General features: G+C 37.5%; 1 protein-coding gene and 1 long non-coding RNA gene across 9 annotated transcripts in view; one reads left to right on the top strand and one right to left on the bottom strand.

The window, feature by feature from the left end:
• The window catches only part of OXR1 (oxidation resistance 1), a 482,517-nt gene that overhangs the window by 161,124 nt on the left and 303,282 nt on the right, over nucleotides 1–18,111 (bottom strand). For 2 of the 7 annotated variants that reach the window (XM_017013591.2, XM_047421919.1), the window contains exon 1: nucleotides 10,320–10,547. The exons of the other annotated variants lie outside the window; for them this stretch is intronic. In XM_017013591.2, coding sequence (XP_016869080.1) covers nucleotides 10,320–10,332 — 13 coding nt within the window. In that variant the 5' untranslated portion in view covers nucleotides 10,333–10,547. Of the gene's footprint in view, nucleotides 1–10,319; nucleotides 10,548–18,111 lie in introns of those variants that run through there. 7 annotated transcript variants of the gene reach the window in all.
• The window catches only part of OXR1-AS1 (OXR1 antisense RNA 1), a 140,687-nt gene that overhangs the window by 66,150 nt on the left and 56,426 nt on the right, over nucleotides 1–18,111 (top strand). The window lies entirely within an intron of this gene.

Genomic DNA, 18,111 nt, shown 5'->3' with positions numbered 1-18,111 from the left:
TAATTTATGGACTAGACTTGTAACCAAGTACTCCCATTTTTCTAAGAGTAAGAGTTATTTTTTAATAATTTTTCTTTCCTCCTTTCCCCTTGTTTCCTACCTCCTACTTAGTTCTTTTTTTTTTTAATTATACTTTAAGTTTTAGGGTACATGTGCACAACGTGCACGTTTGTTACATATGTATACATGTGCCATGTTGGTGTGCTGCACCCATTAACTCGTCATTTAGCATTAGGTATACCTCCTAATGCTATCCCTCCCCCCTCCCCCCTCCCCCCACCCCACAACAGTCCCCAGTGTGTGATGTTCCCCTTCCTGTGTCCATGTGTTCTCATTGTTCAATTCCCACCTATGAGTGAGAACATGTGGTGTTTGGTTTTTTGTCCTTGCGATAGTTTGCTGAGAATGATGGTTTCCAGTTTTATCCATGTCCCTACAAAGGACAAGAACTCATCCTTTTTTATGGCTGCATAGTATTCCGTGGTGTAAATGTGCCACATTTTCTTAATCCAGACTTAGTTCTTTAGAAACGCAATGATACCCTTTACCTTCCCTTCACCAGATGCTCCCCACAGGGCAAGCTTATCTAACTATGTACTTATCTCAAAATGTGTACTTATCTCAAAAGCTCCAGGTCCACTCATGCTACCAAAAATAGAGTGGGCTTCCTCAAGGAGATGGGCACACCTGGCTATCGGGGTGAACACATCAATCAGCTCACCCGCCAGCTGAGCTAGACCCAGGTGAGGCAGGGCTGAAAACTGCCCTTGGGCTGACTTTTGATAGGCCATGCCTTGCCACTTTACAAGTTCTTTTTGCATTTACTAGTATTTAAGAGTAACCTTGAGATTGGGAGGAAAGAAGAGGCTGGTACAAATAGATGGAGACCTGCTGGGATCAGTGAATGCCTGATTAGGACATGGGGCTATGCATAGCCTAAGAGTTATAGGCTTAAAGATGTCGAGTAACTAAAAACCGTATTGCTGGCCGGGCACGGTGGCTCATGCCTGTAATCCCAGCACTTTGGGAAGCCAAGGCGGGCAGACCATGAGGTCAGGAGATTGAGACCATCCTGGCCAACATGGTGAAACCCTGTCTCTACTAAAAATACAAAAATGAGCTGGGTGTGGTGGCGCATGCCTGTAGTCCCAGGTACTTGAGAGGCTAAGGCAGGAAAATCGCTTGAACCCAGGAGGCAGAGATTGCAGTGAGCCAAGATCGTGCCAGTGCATTCCAGCCTGGGCGACAGAGCGAGACTCCGTCTCAAACAACAACAACAACAACAACAACAACAAAAACCAAAAACCTGTATTGCCGCAGTCATTTAGATGGAAATGGGGAAAGAATAATATTAATAACTGATTTCAAAAAGGACTTGAAGATATGAATCATCTATTTTGCTGAAGAAATCGTAACTCTTTGAAATTACTTTCTATTGCTGTTGTCATACTCTTAGGTGCCAAACTGCATTAAATTTTTTATCAATGAAGTGGAAGCATGTGTTTTGTCGTTTTGGGAATTTTTATCAAGTATCTTCAGAGAAGATTATTTCCTGCTTTATCTTCAAAAACTGGAAAGGAAGGGTCAAAGAAAAGACAGTAGCTGGCCGGGCATGGTGGTTCATACCTGTAATCCCAACACTTTGGGAGGCTGAGGTGGGCGGGTCACCTGAGGTTGGGAGTTTAAGACCAGCCTGACCAACATGGAGAAATGCCGACTCTACTAAAAATAGAAAAATTAGTCGGGCATGGTGGCATATGTCTGTAATCCCAGCTACTCAGGAGGCTGAGGCAGGAGAATCGTTTGAACCTGGGAGGCGGGAGTTGCAGTGAGCCGAGTTCATGCCATTGCACTCCAGCCTGGGCAACAAGCGAAACTCCATCTCAAAAAGCAGAAAAGACAGTAGCTTATGTTCATGTCAAGCACCTCTCATCACAGTCTAGTTCCAAGGAAAAATTCCAGCGTTTTCTACATTGGGTGCTGCGTCGTCTGAAATCGGCACATTCCTGCTTTGTTGGATCTATCCTAGGGTTTACTGTTGGTAAATGAGTCACTCTAGCATTTGTACAAGGCTCCCTAAGACTCCTGCAGCAGTCAACCAAGCCCAAGGACATAATTGAATCTGGAGAGTCCTGGGGCCTTGTTTTGAAAAAGACTTGAAATACACATAGGAAGAAAGGCATAAAAATAAATGTTCACTTGTCTCTGCTGTGGAAAAAAAAAAAAAAAAGGCTCCAGGGCCAGAACTCTGTCTCACCAAGCTGCCTAGAGACAACAGCCAATTTACAACCTAAGGTGTGCCCTGCGATGGAACTCTCTCCCACCTGGAGGGTGTCTTGAGACAATGGCCATTTTACAACCCACATCTGCCTGTGATGGTGCCAGCTCACCACCCAGTAGATAAGGCACCAAAATGATCAGCACCTGCTCGCTCTCTCCCCTGCATGCTGTTCACACCAAGTCCCCCTTTAAAGCTTCGGCTTTCTGCCCCAAAAGTGAAGCAGTCCACTAAAGGCAGGAAGGAGCCTGCACCTCTTTCCCTAAGCTAAGCTTTGGAATAAAGCCACTTTCTTTATACCAGACATCGCTCTTGTTAGTTGGACTTTGCACACAGTGTGTGATGGAATCTGCATTTTGGTTACAAAGTTATGAGTTAGATATTAAAACATCAGACAGTGAAAGATTAAGTAATCTGCCTAGTATTGTGCAGCTGAGATATACAAGCCCTGATAGGAAGCTTTTAACTATTATACCATATTAAAAGAAATTGCTTGGTTTAAAATTAAATGAGAGGCTGGGCGCGGTGGCTCATACCTGTAATCCCAGCACTTTGGGAGGCCGAGGAGGGCGGATCATGAAGTCAGGAGTTTGAGACCAGCCTGGCCAAGATGGTGAAACCCTGTCTACTACAAATACAAAAATTAGCCAGGCACAGTGGATGCCTGTTCCCAGCTACTCGGGAGGCTGAGGCAGGAGAATTGCTTGAACCCGGGAGGCAGAGGTTGCAGTGAGCCAAGATCGCGCCACTGCACTCTAGCCTGGGTGACAGAGCAAGACTGTCTCAAAAAAAAAAAAAGTAAATGAGAAATTATATGAATTTCTTGCACATAAATGAAGACCAAGAACCAATGAACATTTTCCTCCTTGCTTGGCACATTAGATCATTAAAGAAGAGCTTCAGTGCTCAGTTAACCCAATATCTGGCAGTCCTATCAAAGATAACTCAAAATAGGTTAGGAGTCCTTTGAGATATATTGAATTTCCAACCCATCACTGCAGTTTCTTCTTCTATTTAAAAAAAAAAAAATTGTTGGCCGGATGCGGTGGCTCATGCCTGTAATTCCAGCACTTTGGGAGGCCGAGGTGGGCGGATCACGAGGTCAGGAGATCGAGACCATCCTGGCTAACATGGTGAAACCCCATCTCTATTAAAAATACAAAAACAAAAATAATTAGCCGGGCGTGGTGGCGGGTGCCTGTAGTCCCAGCTACTTGGGAGGCTGAGGCAGGAGAATGGCGTGAACCCCACAGGCGGAGCTTGCAGTGAGCCGAGATTGTGCCACTGCACTCCAGCCTGGGTGACAGAGCGAGACTCTGTCTCAAAAAAAAAAAAAATTGTTTATATTTAGAAGATGGTTCAACTGGTCTTACCTTCACGGATCTATTATTCTAAGTAATTCTTTACCTAAATATCTATCTTTTCCTTCTCTGTACTAGGCATCCTAGTACCATTTTCTTTTCCTCTTCCACAGCTCAAATAATGATTATACTCAGTGATTCAAATATTAATGTTCCAGTCTATACCCTTAAGAAAAAGAAAACATGCAAGAAGAGAGGGAGGTTTCATGAAGAGGAGGGAAGGAAAAACCATGCTACATAGTTTATTCAGGCACAGCAATGGCCACAGGTGTGAGCACGCCTCAACCAGAACCCCAATGATGATTACAAACCTATCTACTGGGACTTCTCTGAGAAGTGCTGCAGCCCATCATTTGAGAACATTCTTTATTTAAAGTCCACCTTAAAATAACAACCATAACTAAGATGTCTTTGTATTTTCAAATATAACTCTGTCATAATGATAAGCAAGCTTTGCTAAGATATTTATGAGTGTGAGCTTCAAGTGAAACTTTAGTGCTGCCTGATCTTTGTAGTATATTTTCATAGTTCATTCACTCTCCTACTCTCCTAGAGGATAATTTCACGCCATTTGTTCTTTCCCTGCAAACCCAAGAAACTCTTCCAACATCCTTAATCTCCACTGATAATCTTGGTCCCTACTTTACTGAAAAAAAAAAATTAGAGAACTTCCACAGACTCAATACCACATCGACCCACCTACCAGTATCTGTGCCCACCGACTCAACCTTCTCAGATGCTTCTACTTTAAGCTAATGTATCCCCATCCTCTCTCACCTATTCAGAGACAATCTTGAAACTCTTTACTCTCCTCTATATCATCAAATTTTCCACCTCTACTGGATTAATCCACATAAAAATACTCTGTTACTTTCTCATCTTAATAAAACCCTCTCCTGACCCAATTTACACTATGGATGAACACTCCTTTCTACTGCTTCTCTTTACAGCAAAAATCCTAGAAATTTTCCCTAATTACCATTTCTAAATCGTCTCTTTCCATGCTCTTTTTAAAATCCATTCTAAGTGGGCCTAGAGACCCACCACTGCACTGAACTGCTCTTGCTGAAGTCACCAATGACCTCCTCCTTGATAAACAGTCATCTCAGTTCTCATTCAACACATTTATCTCTATCTTCTTCCCACCTGCTTTCCTCACTCGCCCCCAGGACATCACAATCTCCTGATTTTCCTCCTCCACTGCTGCTCCTTCTCAGTCTCTTTTCCAGGTCTACTTCTTCCTACCCAACACTGGAAATACTAGGCCTTAGCACAGATCATCTATCTATGCTTTCTCCTTTGCTGAGCTCTTCCATGGTTTTTGCTATCACCCATGTATTGAAGACTCCTAAATCAATATTTCTAGTACAGTTTCTCCCCCAAACTCCACATTCAAATAGCCAGCTAGTTTATTCCATTTCTCAATTTAGAGATTTAGCTAACACCTGAAACTTGACTATGCTCAGAAGTAAACTCCTGAATTCTCTGCAAACCTGTGCCACCTTCACTGTTCCCACTGTATGTGAGGTCAAATCCATTATATTCTCAGGTCAAAACTTGGGGGAGGAATACATGACTGCTTTGTTTGTTTTTCTTCTCTCTTTTTTTTTCTTTCTTTCTACTCCTTCACACTCACCCCATCGTATTCACCAGGAAAATGTGTCCGCTCTATCTTTAAAGTATATACAGAATGTGACCACTTCTCACCACCTCTAGCACTACCATCTTGGTCTCAACTACCATGTTTCTCACCTGAATCATGGCTATAACTTCCTAACTGGTCTGCTTCCAATCTTGATGTTCCAACAATTTGTTTTCCACGTTCTAGTTAGAACAAGTCTCTCAAAATGTAAGTCAGATTTGCCAAATCATTGCTCAAAATCACTAATCACTTATCATTTCACTGGGAGTAAAAACTCTAGCCCAGAATTAGAGTAAAAAGTCTAATTGGGAGTAAAAGCTTCTAAGATGTCATATAATTTAGCCCCCATTATCTCTCCAAAGGCATCTCCCATATATTCTCCTGTTGTTCACTCTAGTAACATGTACCTGGATATTTCTGAAATATGCAAAGCAAGCTCCCATCTCAAGGCCTTACTTTCCTGCTTCTTGGAATGCCATTTCCCAATGTATCTACATTACTAACTCCCTTACCTCCTTCAATTTTTTACTTACTTAAGTCATCTTCTCAATGAGGCTTACTCTTACTACCATTAAAGATTGTGACACATCCCCTCTTTGGCACTTCTGACTTCCTTTACCTGGCTTGGCATTTTCTTTACTCCATAGCATCTGTTACCTAACTTACTCTACAATTTACTCATGCCCTACATTCATGTTCATTTATATAGTTTTTGCCTTCTGCTGATATGTAACATAAGTTCCATGAGGAACTGAATTAAATTACTATAGCATGTAGAATGGTGGATAATGAAATAATGTAAAATTTTAAAAGAGTACTGAATTCAATCAGGTAGAAAAGAGAAATTCTAATCTGGGTAATGGATATACAACCTAGCAAGTTGGTTTAGACTAAAGTTGCCTGAGATAACAGGAAAATAGTGAATAAAATAACCTGGGATGCACTAGGGTGTAAGAAAAGGAGTGGGCTTTAGAAGTCCCACTGAAAGAAGGGACTTGGATTGCTATCTTGTTTTTAGATAGAATTTTCCTAGAAATATCTCTGAGAAGCCCTATTCTAGAATTGCCATCCACAACACAAACCTATGGTCATAGTTGCTGTTGTAGACTGGAGATGATGATAAAATTCTCCTTAGTCAAATAAGCAACTTTTCACCCCAGGAAAGTATACCATAAAAGTGCAGAGATGATGAAGGAATAACCATTATTCAAGTTGAGTTTATAGAGGAACAGTGGATTTTCTAATTGACATGGCATTTAAATTATGTTTTGTCTCTTTATAAGTTTAAATTTTTATCAAAGTTCCACATAAACTAAAGAAGCAAATAGCTAGTTCTAATTGACTTGTAAAATAAAGCAATCCCCCCAATCCCACCCTTTTTCCTACTCTCCAGAACCAACCACTCTGAATTATTTTCTCAGACCTGCACCAGCCTAGACTGTTTTTATGTGGTATAGCTGTCTTAGAATCACCCTGTGCAGGATTCCCTTCACTTCTTCCTTATGGATATCTCCTATTTCTTGGATTCCATTTTTTTTCTTTCTCATATTGCTGGAGCACTTGAGAAACTGTAATGGGAGGGAAATTTTTAAAATGTGCATATATGAAAATGGCTTTATTCTACTCATAGTTGATTTATAATGATAGTAAAACTATTGATAGGAAATAATTTACCATTTACCATTCAAATTTTAAAGGCATACTCTTACTTCGTAGCTTCTAGTATTGCTATAGAGAAGTCCTATGTCATTCTGATTCTTGATCCATTGAATGAATATGTCTCCCTCATGATTTAAGAATCTTTTCTTTGAAACAAGTTTTCTGAAGTTTCATGATAATATGCCTGAGTGTGAGCCTTTTTTTCATTGTTCTTGCTACTGGGCCCTTTCAATTTGGAAACTCATGTCCTTCAGTTCTGGGAAATTTTCTCACATTATTTCTTTGACTTTTCTCCCCCCTCCCCCGAACACCCCTCTCTTTTTTTAAGTCTGGTATCTCTTTCTGGAGATCCTGTTTGGATGATGGAGTTCCATGACTGGCCCTCAGGTTTCTCTACTTTTTCTCTATTATTTTCATCTCTTTTCTACTTTCAGAAACATTTCCTTCAAAGCTTTTACTGGGTTTTTCATTTATGCAATTATACCTTTAACTTCCTAGAAATTTGTTTCCTGAATATCCCTTTTTGTATCACCCTATTTTGGTTTCCTGGATACAATCTATTTTATCCTTTTGAGAATGCTAAGAATCTCTTTAGATGGTTTTCTTTCTTCCCAAGTATTTTCTTTTCCTTCCAATTTTTCTTTTCTGTGTCCTTGGTTTAGTCAGTGTTCTCATATTAGGAGTTGAACCTCAATAAATTTCCCATTTAAGAACAAGACACTAAAAAAGCAGATTGGAAGTGAGGCAGTAACTGTGGTCTTGACTGTAGCATGCTCTGATTGAGCTGGTCCTAAGAGAATTCTTAATGTCAGTAACGTTAAGTCTTCTCTCCTAGGTCAATCTGCTTTTCGAAAAGATACTTTAGCTTTATCTTTACTCCTACTTTTTAAAATACTCAACATCACCAACTACTTTCAGGAGTTCCACACTGTAAATTGGGTGCTTCTCAGTTATTCCCACTGTTAGCATTAGCTTTCTTGGGTCTGCTAAATTGCCTTCAAACTACGAAATTTTATCACTGTTACCTCCTCTTCTGGTTTTGGTCCTTTTGGCATATGTCTTCTTAGAAAATCCTTTTACTGTCATTTTAGTTGAGGATAAAAATGGAACAGACCTTAATGGTTGCATTTAATCCGCCATCTTTTACTGGAACTCTTGCTTCCAGTCCTGATTTTAAGATGTTTGAAATGCTTAGGAGAATCTAATTTACTACATTTATAGGTTTGATTTATTAGTTTTACAGAGGTTAAGTGTTTAGCAAGCATTGGCTTATTACACTTTAAGTTTGTCCTATCAGGCATTTAAAGTGTTTGTTAAAAATCATATAAATTTGTAATTTAGCTTGAAGTATTTAAAGAAGTTTAATAGGCTTGTAAATGAGAGTAAATTTTGGGGAACTTAACCCATTAGAGTCACGAGTCAGTGGAATCAAGTGACTATATTTTATATGAAAAATACTTAGCCTTATGAATTGCCCTTAAAGCTTAAGGAAAAACTATACTTTCTAATTCATACTCTGTTTATGAAAGTTATATATTTAGACACAAATAATTTTAGTCTTTTTCAAAAAAAACTCCCTCCTAACAACTAAAAACTTAATCAATAGGAATAAGTTTAAAATAGCATAACCACATTATGTCATAGAAGTAGAGAAGCAATGGAAATGGAACTTTGTTTTAGTTTTGGCTGAGAACCCCAAGGCTGAACACTGTGGGGAGGGTGCCAAATATATTCATATCCTAAAAGTGGTGCCAAGAGACTGTGACATTGGTTTGGTCCATCATGTCCCTGAAACGTATAAGACAATTGATAAGGAAGATGCTTCTCCAAAGTCTTATTATTTTATAAATTAGTAAGTTCTTTGTAAAATAAGCCTGCTTGTCAAGTGATAAGCTTTAGTGGTTATTTTCTAAAAAGAGGAAAAACAACACTTCTGTGGCTTAATAAGCTTTTTTCACTACTTTATAAAATGTGGTGGGTGTTTTTCCTCTAACTTCATTATTATTAAGCTTTGCTCAGAAACTCAATAAGGAATTTGTCTCTTTAACATTAACAAAGACTAAATTAAAATGTTGTAAAAGACTGCCTACTTTTATTTAACGCTCTCCATTGTGGAATACTACCACCAAGAAGAAATAATTGTAAGCTCTACAATGGCAGGCACAATTCTGTTTTAGTCATCATGCCAGCTAACCAGCATAGAGAATATGGGAAGAAAAACCTTGTTGTCCCCAGGTTTGCTATTTTCAGCTGCCACAAAGAACAAGTGCTTTGTTTTTAGTTTATTCTTAACTCTTACTCCTATAGTTCCAAATAATCTTGTTTTACCTAATAGGTCTTTGTTATTTTTATTTCTCTCCAAGTGAGCTGCCCTGGATTTTGAATTTTGATCAGTATTTACCTTCATATATATATATATGTTCCTTCATATATATATATATATATATATATATGTCAATAGAAAAAAATCTGTCTTGCTTGTTTTTTAAATCCATTATTGTTATAAATTATCTGATAGGTTTAGAAAATTTACTAGTCACTGGCTAGAAAATGATAATTTTCTTTTTGTTGTTGTTGTTTTTTAGGTTTTTTTTTTTTTTTTTTTTTGAGACAGAGTCTCATTCTGTTGCCCAGGCTGTGGTGCAGTGGTGCGACCTCAGTTTACTGCAACCTCCACCTCCCACGTTCAAGCGATTCTCCTGTCTCAGCCTCCCTAGTAGCTGGGATTACAAGCACCTGCCACCACACTCAGCTAATTTTTGTATTTTTAATAGAGACAGGGTTTCTCCATGTTGGTCAGGCTGGTCTTGAACTCCTGACCTCAGATGATCTGTCTGCCTTGGCCTTCCAAAGAGTTGGGATTATAGGTGTGAGCCATTGTGCCTGGCCCTGAAAATGATAATCTTCTTTTCTCCATACAAGCAATTTTTTAAGAATCTCAATATGGTTGTCTCAAGTGTGACATTAAATGTATTAGAAGTTCATTTTATTCATCTGCGTTCATGTTTAAAATGAAAAAAGACATTTACTTCTAGAAGCTTCTATGAATGAAACAGGAATTGGAAACCAGAAAAATCAAGTGACATTAATAGAAATAAGACAAATGTTTAAAAGGTTTTTTTTAAAAAAAAAACACAGAATCAAAATATTACTGACAACACACATATTCTTTTCTCAAAGTCAAAAGTTGGCAATTTCTAATACTCCATAAAAGGGCCACTAAACAAATATCCGAATCTACTATTATTTGCATAATACTCTATTTGGTTAATTTATACATTCCAGTAGCAAGACTCCGCTTGCCTCAACAAGTGGTTGACATTTTTTAGGCAAATGAAAAATTAAAAAAAAATAGAAAGGCATGATTTCAGAAACTTACTTCTCAGCTTCATGGATATTGGGCATATTTCCTTGGAATTCAGCTTTCTGCAGCAGTGGTTTGTCAAGTTCTCTTTCAAATGTTCTTGCTATTTCACCGGATTATTTCCATCCAAAATTCTAAATCTTTAAGTCTAGACTGTCTTTGAATAGCACCATATTTTTCCTCCATCTTTAGCAGACTATTGAAGTGAGAAGTCTACACCTTCCCACTTGTCTTCCTCTGACTAATTTTAAGAAGCTTTTAGTGCTGGGTAAGACAGTGGTAGCCACAAGAATGAGGAAACAAGCATGTGTTTTAGGTTCAAAAGAGCAAGTCATTCATTTACTTAAGGAATGTTCAGGAAAATATTTAGCTTCTGAAAGTGAACACACTTGAAAGGCTGGATAATATTTAAATATATTGGCCCTGCATTTTTGCTCACAAAATATTAGCTTAAGTCACATATTTCTTGAAATAAAAATTATATTGCATCATTAAAAAAAGAAAAAGATATAATGTTTTACAGACAATAGCAAGTGTTGGTGAGAATGTGGAGAAATTGGAACTGCCATGTACTATTGGTAGGATGTAAAATAATGCTACCACAATAGGAAACAGTATGGAGTTTCCTCAAAAAATTAAAAAAATAAATAAATACCATAGGATCCGATAATCTCAGTTCTTGGTATGAATTCCAAACAATTGAAAGCAAGGTTTCTATAAGATATCTGCATATTTATGTTCACAGCAGCACTATTCACTATTGCCAAGAAGTGGCATCAAACTACTTGTCCACCAATGAATGAATAGATATACAAATGTGGTATATATGTACAATGAAATATTATTCAGTCATAGAAAGAAAACCCTGTCATGTACTACAACATGGATGAACCTTGAGGATATTAGGCAAAGTGAAATAAGCTAGTCACAAGAAGATAACTATGTAAGATTCTACTTTTCTTAGGTATAGAAAGTGGTCAAATTCATAGAAACAAAAGAATTGAGGGAGGGGAAAAGGAGAGTTGTGATTTAATGGGTATAGAGTTTCAGATTCACAAAACCAAAACAGTTCTGGAGATGGCTTTTACTATTATGTGAATATTCTTCACACTACTGAACCATACACTTAAAGATGGCTAAGATGGTTTAAAAAAGACATAATGCTTTAAAGGATACTTGTTGAAATTATTCTCATGCCTATAGTTCTGTGCATTTAGAGTCACAGCTGCCAGTCAATCATACACAGGAAGAAAATGCTGGCCATCAGTATGCTTTCCAATCTAAATCATGAATAGTGATTTTATGCAGCTGGCGGGAAGTGTGTGGTCAATCAGAATGCACATGCTTCTGCTGTGAGCCTAGGATGATAAAAGCATTTGCTCTGCTGCCATGAGACCAGTGAAACTTTTTGGACTTGAAACCAATCATTACTACCCCAAAACTCACTGAATTGAAGAACTAGACAGATTGTGAGGGCTCAATTATATGAAATCAAGCATATATAGCATAGTGATTAAAAAAAAAAAGTGGGACCAGAAACAGCTTGAATTTAATTCCTGGCTCCCCTCCTTAGCTACTATGTGCTTTTGGACAAGTTATGTAACCTTTCTAAGCTTTAATCTTTCTTTCTTAAGTCTGGATGGTGAAAGGGTGATGCCTACCCTATGGGGTTCTCATGAGCAGTGCATGAGATGAGGCAAGGAAGTGCTCCAGAGCCAGCAAGCTCAGTCCCAAGGCTTTGCAACATCCTTCCCTGCACTCTCGTAGATAATCAGACATGCATAAAGTCACCTAATTCTCTCAGTTCAGCCTATTCTTTCTAGCTCATTTTATTTAGCTAGAAATAGCTTGCTCATTTATTTCAGCAGGCCTGGAAAGCAGCAAGGCCAGAGCTAATCCAGGGCCTCAGGTAAGATGAAAGGACACACAGGAGAGCCAGAAGTTTGAGGCAAATCAGGGATCAGGAGTTTCGAATGTCAAACACTAGCAATTACAGGATTTCAGGCAGGAAGTGACGGGTTTGAAGTGAACACTGTACAACCAACTACAGCCATAAATAGGGAATTACAATGAAACCCAAACTGTAAGCCAGAAATGTGGCCCAAGGCAAGCCAGAAACCCAGAGTCAGTTCAGAAGGGTATAATCAAAATAGTCCAGCTAGAGAAAGGCAAAAAAGGAGACAGTCAAGAATTTTAGGAGCTTTGAGAGGACATTCCCAGTCAGCAATAAAGAAGGTGGTATTGGGTATATTTTCATACTAGGCAAAAAAAAAAAAAAAGAAAGAAAAAGTGAGGTTACCTAGGTGGTCACTAAAGTCAAAGATGCCACTATAGCAGTGGTTGGAACAGGCTGGGAACAGGGTGGGAATAGGGTAAAGAGTAAATGGGAAGCCTGGATAAACTTGATAAGAGCAATGCAAACACCATGTAAATACCACTGAGCTGATGAATATATAACCAGGTGTGCTGACTATTTTGCCAAGTAATGAATTTAGTGCCCAGAGTCTAGAACTCAGATGCAAGTGGACTAGAAATTAATCTATTTTACAAATTAATAATTGTATTTTACAACCACATTAAATCTGTAAATTGTTTTTCTTCTTGTCCTCCTGTCACAATTTTACAATGACACACACAGTATACATAGTAAGTCCTTAATTCCTTAAAATGTTGATAAAGGAGATATGCTATGCACAAGAATTTACTATGACTTATGTCTCTGAACCACATAGAACTACAAATATTATGTATATGAACTCATTTACTCGCAAGTTAAAGTTTGGATAGCTTCTATCGGAGTTACCATATGAGTATCCCTGTTAACTTATACACAGGAATATTAACTGGTAGGAAAATTATCTTGTCAAATCCCAGTATCTGCTTTAAAAAACTCTACTGTATCAATCAATGTAGTCAGGAGACAGGACAGAATATAAAGAATAATGGAGGTATCAAGTTGATGACACTAAGTTATCACAAAGAAAGCAATAGCAGAAAACAGCTACTGACTCAGGGGCTAGGCAGCAAAGGGAAATAGTTGGAATTATTAAAATACAGAAGCTTAGAGAAGGAACCCTGCACATGGCTGCTGATAAAATACAGTAAGCACAGTTAAATATGCAATATCGGGAAACATACTTATACTAAATGTTTATTCATTGTTTACCTGAGATTGAAATTGGGTTTCCCATAATTTTATGTTAAATGTGACACCCCTAGCCCTGTGAAGCCACAACCCAGATTTCTACAAAGGGGCACCGGCCAACTAATGCTGGCGTCTCTGAAGAGCAGGGTACAATGGAGCTGGTTCTGCAAATGTTAGAAAAACTGCAAACTGAATTCAGTAGTTGCTGCTGGAATGAACCCTTGTTGCCACAGCAAGGAAGGGTAGCTGGAGAGGAGATACAGGAACTACAAGCGTACCTGAAGTGAATTCCTCCTCCCAGTTCCGGCCTTGCAGCTTCCTTCTGGAGCCCCCTACTGGCAGGGCCTAGCAGGTGGCTGCTGGCAAAGCAGAAACTTGGGTTGCAGGAACTCAGCCCCAGCATCCTGAGGCTGAACAGAAAAGGGTAGCTTTGGCCGGGCGCAGTAGCTCACGCCTGAAATCCCAGCACTTTGGGAAGCCGAGGAAGGTGGATCACCTCAGGTCAGGAGTTCGAGACCAGCCTGGCCGACCTGGTAAACCTTGTCTCTACTAAAAATACAAAAAATTAGCCGGGCGTGGTGGCGGGCACCTGTAGTCCCAGCTACTCGGGAGGTTGAGGCAGGAGAATGGTGTGAACCCGGGAGGCGGAGTTTGCAGTGAGCCGAGATGATGCCACTGCACTCCAGCCTGGCTGACAGAAGAGAGACTCTGTCTCAAAAAAAAAAAAAAAAAAAAAAAAAAAAGTTAGCTGGGCATAGTGGCGGGCGCCTGTAATCCCAGCTACTCGGGAGGCTGAGGCAGGAGAATCACTTGAACCTGGGAGGTGGAGGTTGCAGTGAACCAAGATTGCACCACTGCATTCCAGTCTGGGCGACAGACAGAGACTCCATCTCAAAAAAAAAACAAAAAACAAAACAAAACAAAAAAAACGGATAGCTTTGGGTCTGTGAGACAATAATGTAAAAACTGACATATATATCCATTGTAATTTATAATTTCATGGAGCAAATACTGTAGTTTAATTGTTCATGTTAGTTTAGAAAGTCTGCCGATGACTATTATTAAAGCTCATACATTTAATAATTTTCTGGAAAATACTATAAATTCTTCGAAGTAAAGGTAGTTGAAAGTTACTCCTACAAAATAGAAACAAAAAAGTTCGAATTAAGAGATACTACAAAAACAATTTACATAAACATGCCACTCTCATATGCAAGATGAGTGTATATAAAATTTAAAAATATTTTGATTAAAATTGTTGGGATTCTACCAGCTTGAAATGTAATTTTACTTTCTATAGTGTTTTCAGTATTTACACAGCATGAGCACACTAAATATGTGATGATGTTTGACTTACTGAATTTGAGAATTTTCTTTCTAATGCCATCATAGTCACTATGATCATTATTTTATAAAACAAATAATTTAAATATTACTCAAGAGACATCCTCAAAAGACCAATGCCTAAATAATGATTTTTAAAATCACCCCTAACTATGAGTTTTGAATTTCTGTTGTTTACCTTTACATGTTACATAGACTGTACATTTATTTTTACTTTGGATAAAAATCTTCAACAACAGATAACTTTCCCAGGTCTTCTGCAATAAAGCCTGTGGCTCTATTTGATGTTTTCTTTTTTTTTTTTTTTTTTTGAATAACTGTGCTACCATTATAAGCACAAATAACTGTATAATTCTATTTGTTAGTAATATACAAAAGAATAATTTCTACTCCTAAAATTTCCAGAATGTTATTCTAAAAATAACATAAAGTTAATTTTCTTTATTAAGGTAATACATCATATACATTTTAGAAAATTTACGAGATACAGAAAATAATCTTACTGTTCCTAAGAACAGTACTTCCAGGATATCTCTTCAACTATTTAAAACCATATTTGTAATTAAATTCTATCTGCAAAGTTATATCCAGCTTTCCCTCTTAGTATAAAAGTGATTTTTTTCTGTGACATTAAAAGTTCTTGTAAAAATAATATAAGGACTTCTTAATAATCTTTGAATAGATGAGCTATAATTTACTTAAACTCTGTTATTATTAAAAACATCACCATTTTAAAAAACATAATTTCAGGGTTTTGTGTGTGTGTGTGTGTGTGTGTGTGTGTGTGTGTGTTATAAACATTTCTATCTCTTCTCTTTGTCATTTTCTCAGTGACCATTATTTGTTGTTAATGTGTCTGCTGCTCCTTTCTACTTTGCTGTTTTTAATCTGCCACGTATTTGAAAATCATATAATCAAATGTGTTAGGATTTTATCTAGGTTAAGAATTAATGTGCTTTGAAATAAGAATTTAAAGTCTTTCCTTCTGAGAAAACTGCATGAGCTTTGGCACATAAGTGAGGTGTCATTTATTTCAGTAATCAGTAATTCAAGCCCCTTTCTCTTTTTTTTTTTTTTTAATATATTCTTCAAGGTTCTTGGATGGATCAAGTTGATTGCTATCATTAAATTAATTGTATATCATTAAATGTAGGGGTCATTAAATGAGATATCTTCATTTACTTTGTACCTGCCTTCATGCTTAACACAGGCAGGACTGTTCATATTTGCATTAAAACAAGAAATGAATACATGATCAAAATATGAGAATTTAATCATGGTAACATTGCTGGTACATGTGAAACCATAGGAGGTCTCATCAGTCATCAAGGGGCTGTGAATGTCCATTTTCATTTAATTAACTGAGTCAAATTTATTTAATTGTAATAATGCTAGTGAGGGTGATATGAAAAAAACTAGTAGAATTAGTTTAAGAAGAAATTTTCACAACACTTTTTGGAAAGTGATTTAGCAATATAGATTAAGAGCCTTTAAAATTTCCCTACCATTTGAGCTTATTTCACCTTTAAGATTCTATATTAATAAATACAAAATCAGATAAAATTTATGCATAAAGATGATGATAGTAGCATTATTAATACTAATAAAGACTGGAAACTCTAAGCATCTAACATCAGTAATATGTTGAAAAAATTCTGGAACTTCTACAGGTTAAATTAACGCAAATGTAAAATGATATTGAGAATCACATTTTAATGGTGTGAGAAAAATGTATATTATTAATATCAGGATAAATAATGCAAAACTGAGTCCAATTATGTAAATGAAAAGTCACATGGAGAAAAGCCATAAAAAACCAACTAAAGATAACTTAATGGTTATCTCTGGCTAACGGAATTGTAGTTGATTGTCATCTTCTTTATTTATTTTTAGTATTTCCCAAACTTTTTAAAAATGGGCATTCAAAAACATCAGAAGTAAAGAGTACATGTTATAATTTTTTACATGCTGGAATCTAGAAGTCATGGTAAGCTGCATTAGAAGCACTATTTTCATAAGTGTATAAGAATCTTATGTTCTTTCCATGGTTATTTCTATTTGGACAACCTGGCACACTTACTGGGAGATCTGGACAGATGCCCCTTACTTAGCTTTGGTGGATGGGGCATAGCCCCTGTCCTTCAGAGGGTCTGTGCCAAAGCCTTCTTGCTTTCTCCCTACTGTCTATACTCACCTTTTTCTATGAAGATACAGGGTTTAACTGTGCCCAATGCTGTCCAGTAAAGGATCTTATCTCCTAGACTTACTTAGTGCTAGGTGTGGCCATGTTTGTGGCCAATGAGAGATAAACAGAAGTGATGTGGCAACATTTGGGTCATGTTTCTACAAGGAGGGTTCTGTGTCCATCCTTCATTTCCCCCCTTTTTTTCCACTGGCAGATGTTGGAGTGGGAGAGAAGTTACCAGCAAAGGCTTTTTAGACCTAGAGATGGGAGTTGAATATTAAGGAAGCCAGAGGAATTAGGAGAATCTACCCTTGATACCAAAAAATCTGCCCAGGAGGTTACTTATCTTCAGACTGTTGTGTGAGACAAAAATAAACATTTTGGGGCTTTTTTATAGGAGCAAATTAGTATCCTAACTGTTACTGCTTCTATCTGGCAGAAGCAGCTGGATTTTGTTATTATTCTTAGAATATTAAGTTACCATTAATTACCCCCAAACTAAAATCACTATATTTAGTAGCCATTTCCCAACATTTAAATAGCTAATCTTAAATAGCCCATTCTGTAGGCCAATTAATATAGCAGTTTGCGAGTGCAGAGTGCCATGCTACTTGAAACCAGATGTCTCAGAAGCCATCTAAATTTCTTCTAAGAATGAATGCTTTCTTTTTTTTTTTGAATTAAAAATTACCCATTAAATGCCACATGGCCCAGAATCAACTGATGGAGAACATTCAAGGAATTTATTTATTGAGAAAATGTTGTGAATACTTTTAGGTTACATGGTTTCCCATTCTAGTGTCCAAATAAAAATTAGATTCTCAAGTCTTCACAGTAGAAATCTGGGTACTTCAGATCAGACATCTTAAGCATAAAGACATCTTGCTTTACTTATCTTAAAATGCTGCACTACAGTCCCTTCTTAGAGAACTTAAACATGAAGTCACAGCAATATAATACTGCTCAAGCATTTACAATGGCTTTATTTGAAGAACTAATGGATATATTAGCAATCTAGTCTAGATTCTTCAAATCATGTCTTTCATTAAATTAAAACAAATATGTATACAAAAAGTCAGTATTTGACCAGTGTTTCTGAGCTTTTTTAGCAGAATCATTACTGAATACAGCAT

This window comes from Homo sapiens, chromosome 8 (genome assembly GCF_000001405.40).
Source record: "Homo sapiens chromosome 8, GRCh38.p14 Primary Assembly".
Lineage (NCBI taxonomy): Eukaryota > Metazoa > Chordata > Mammalia > Primates > Hominidae > Homo > Homo sapiens.
The sequence above is the reverse complement of the archived record's forward strand: the minus strand, read 5'-3'. Positions and strand labels throughout refer to the sequence as shown.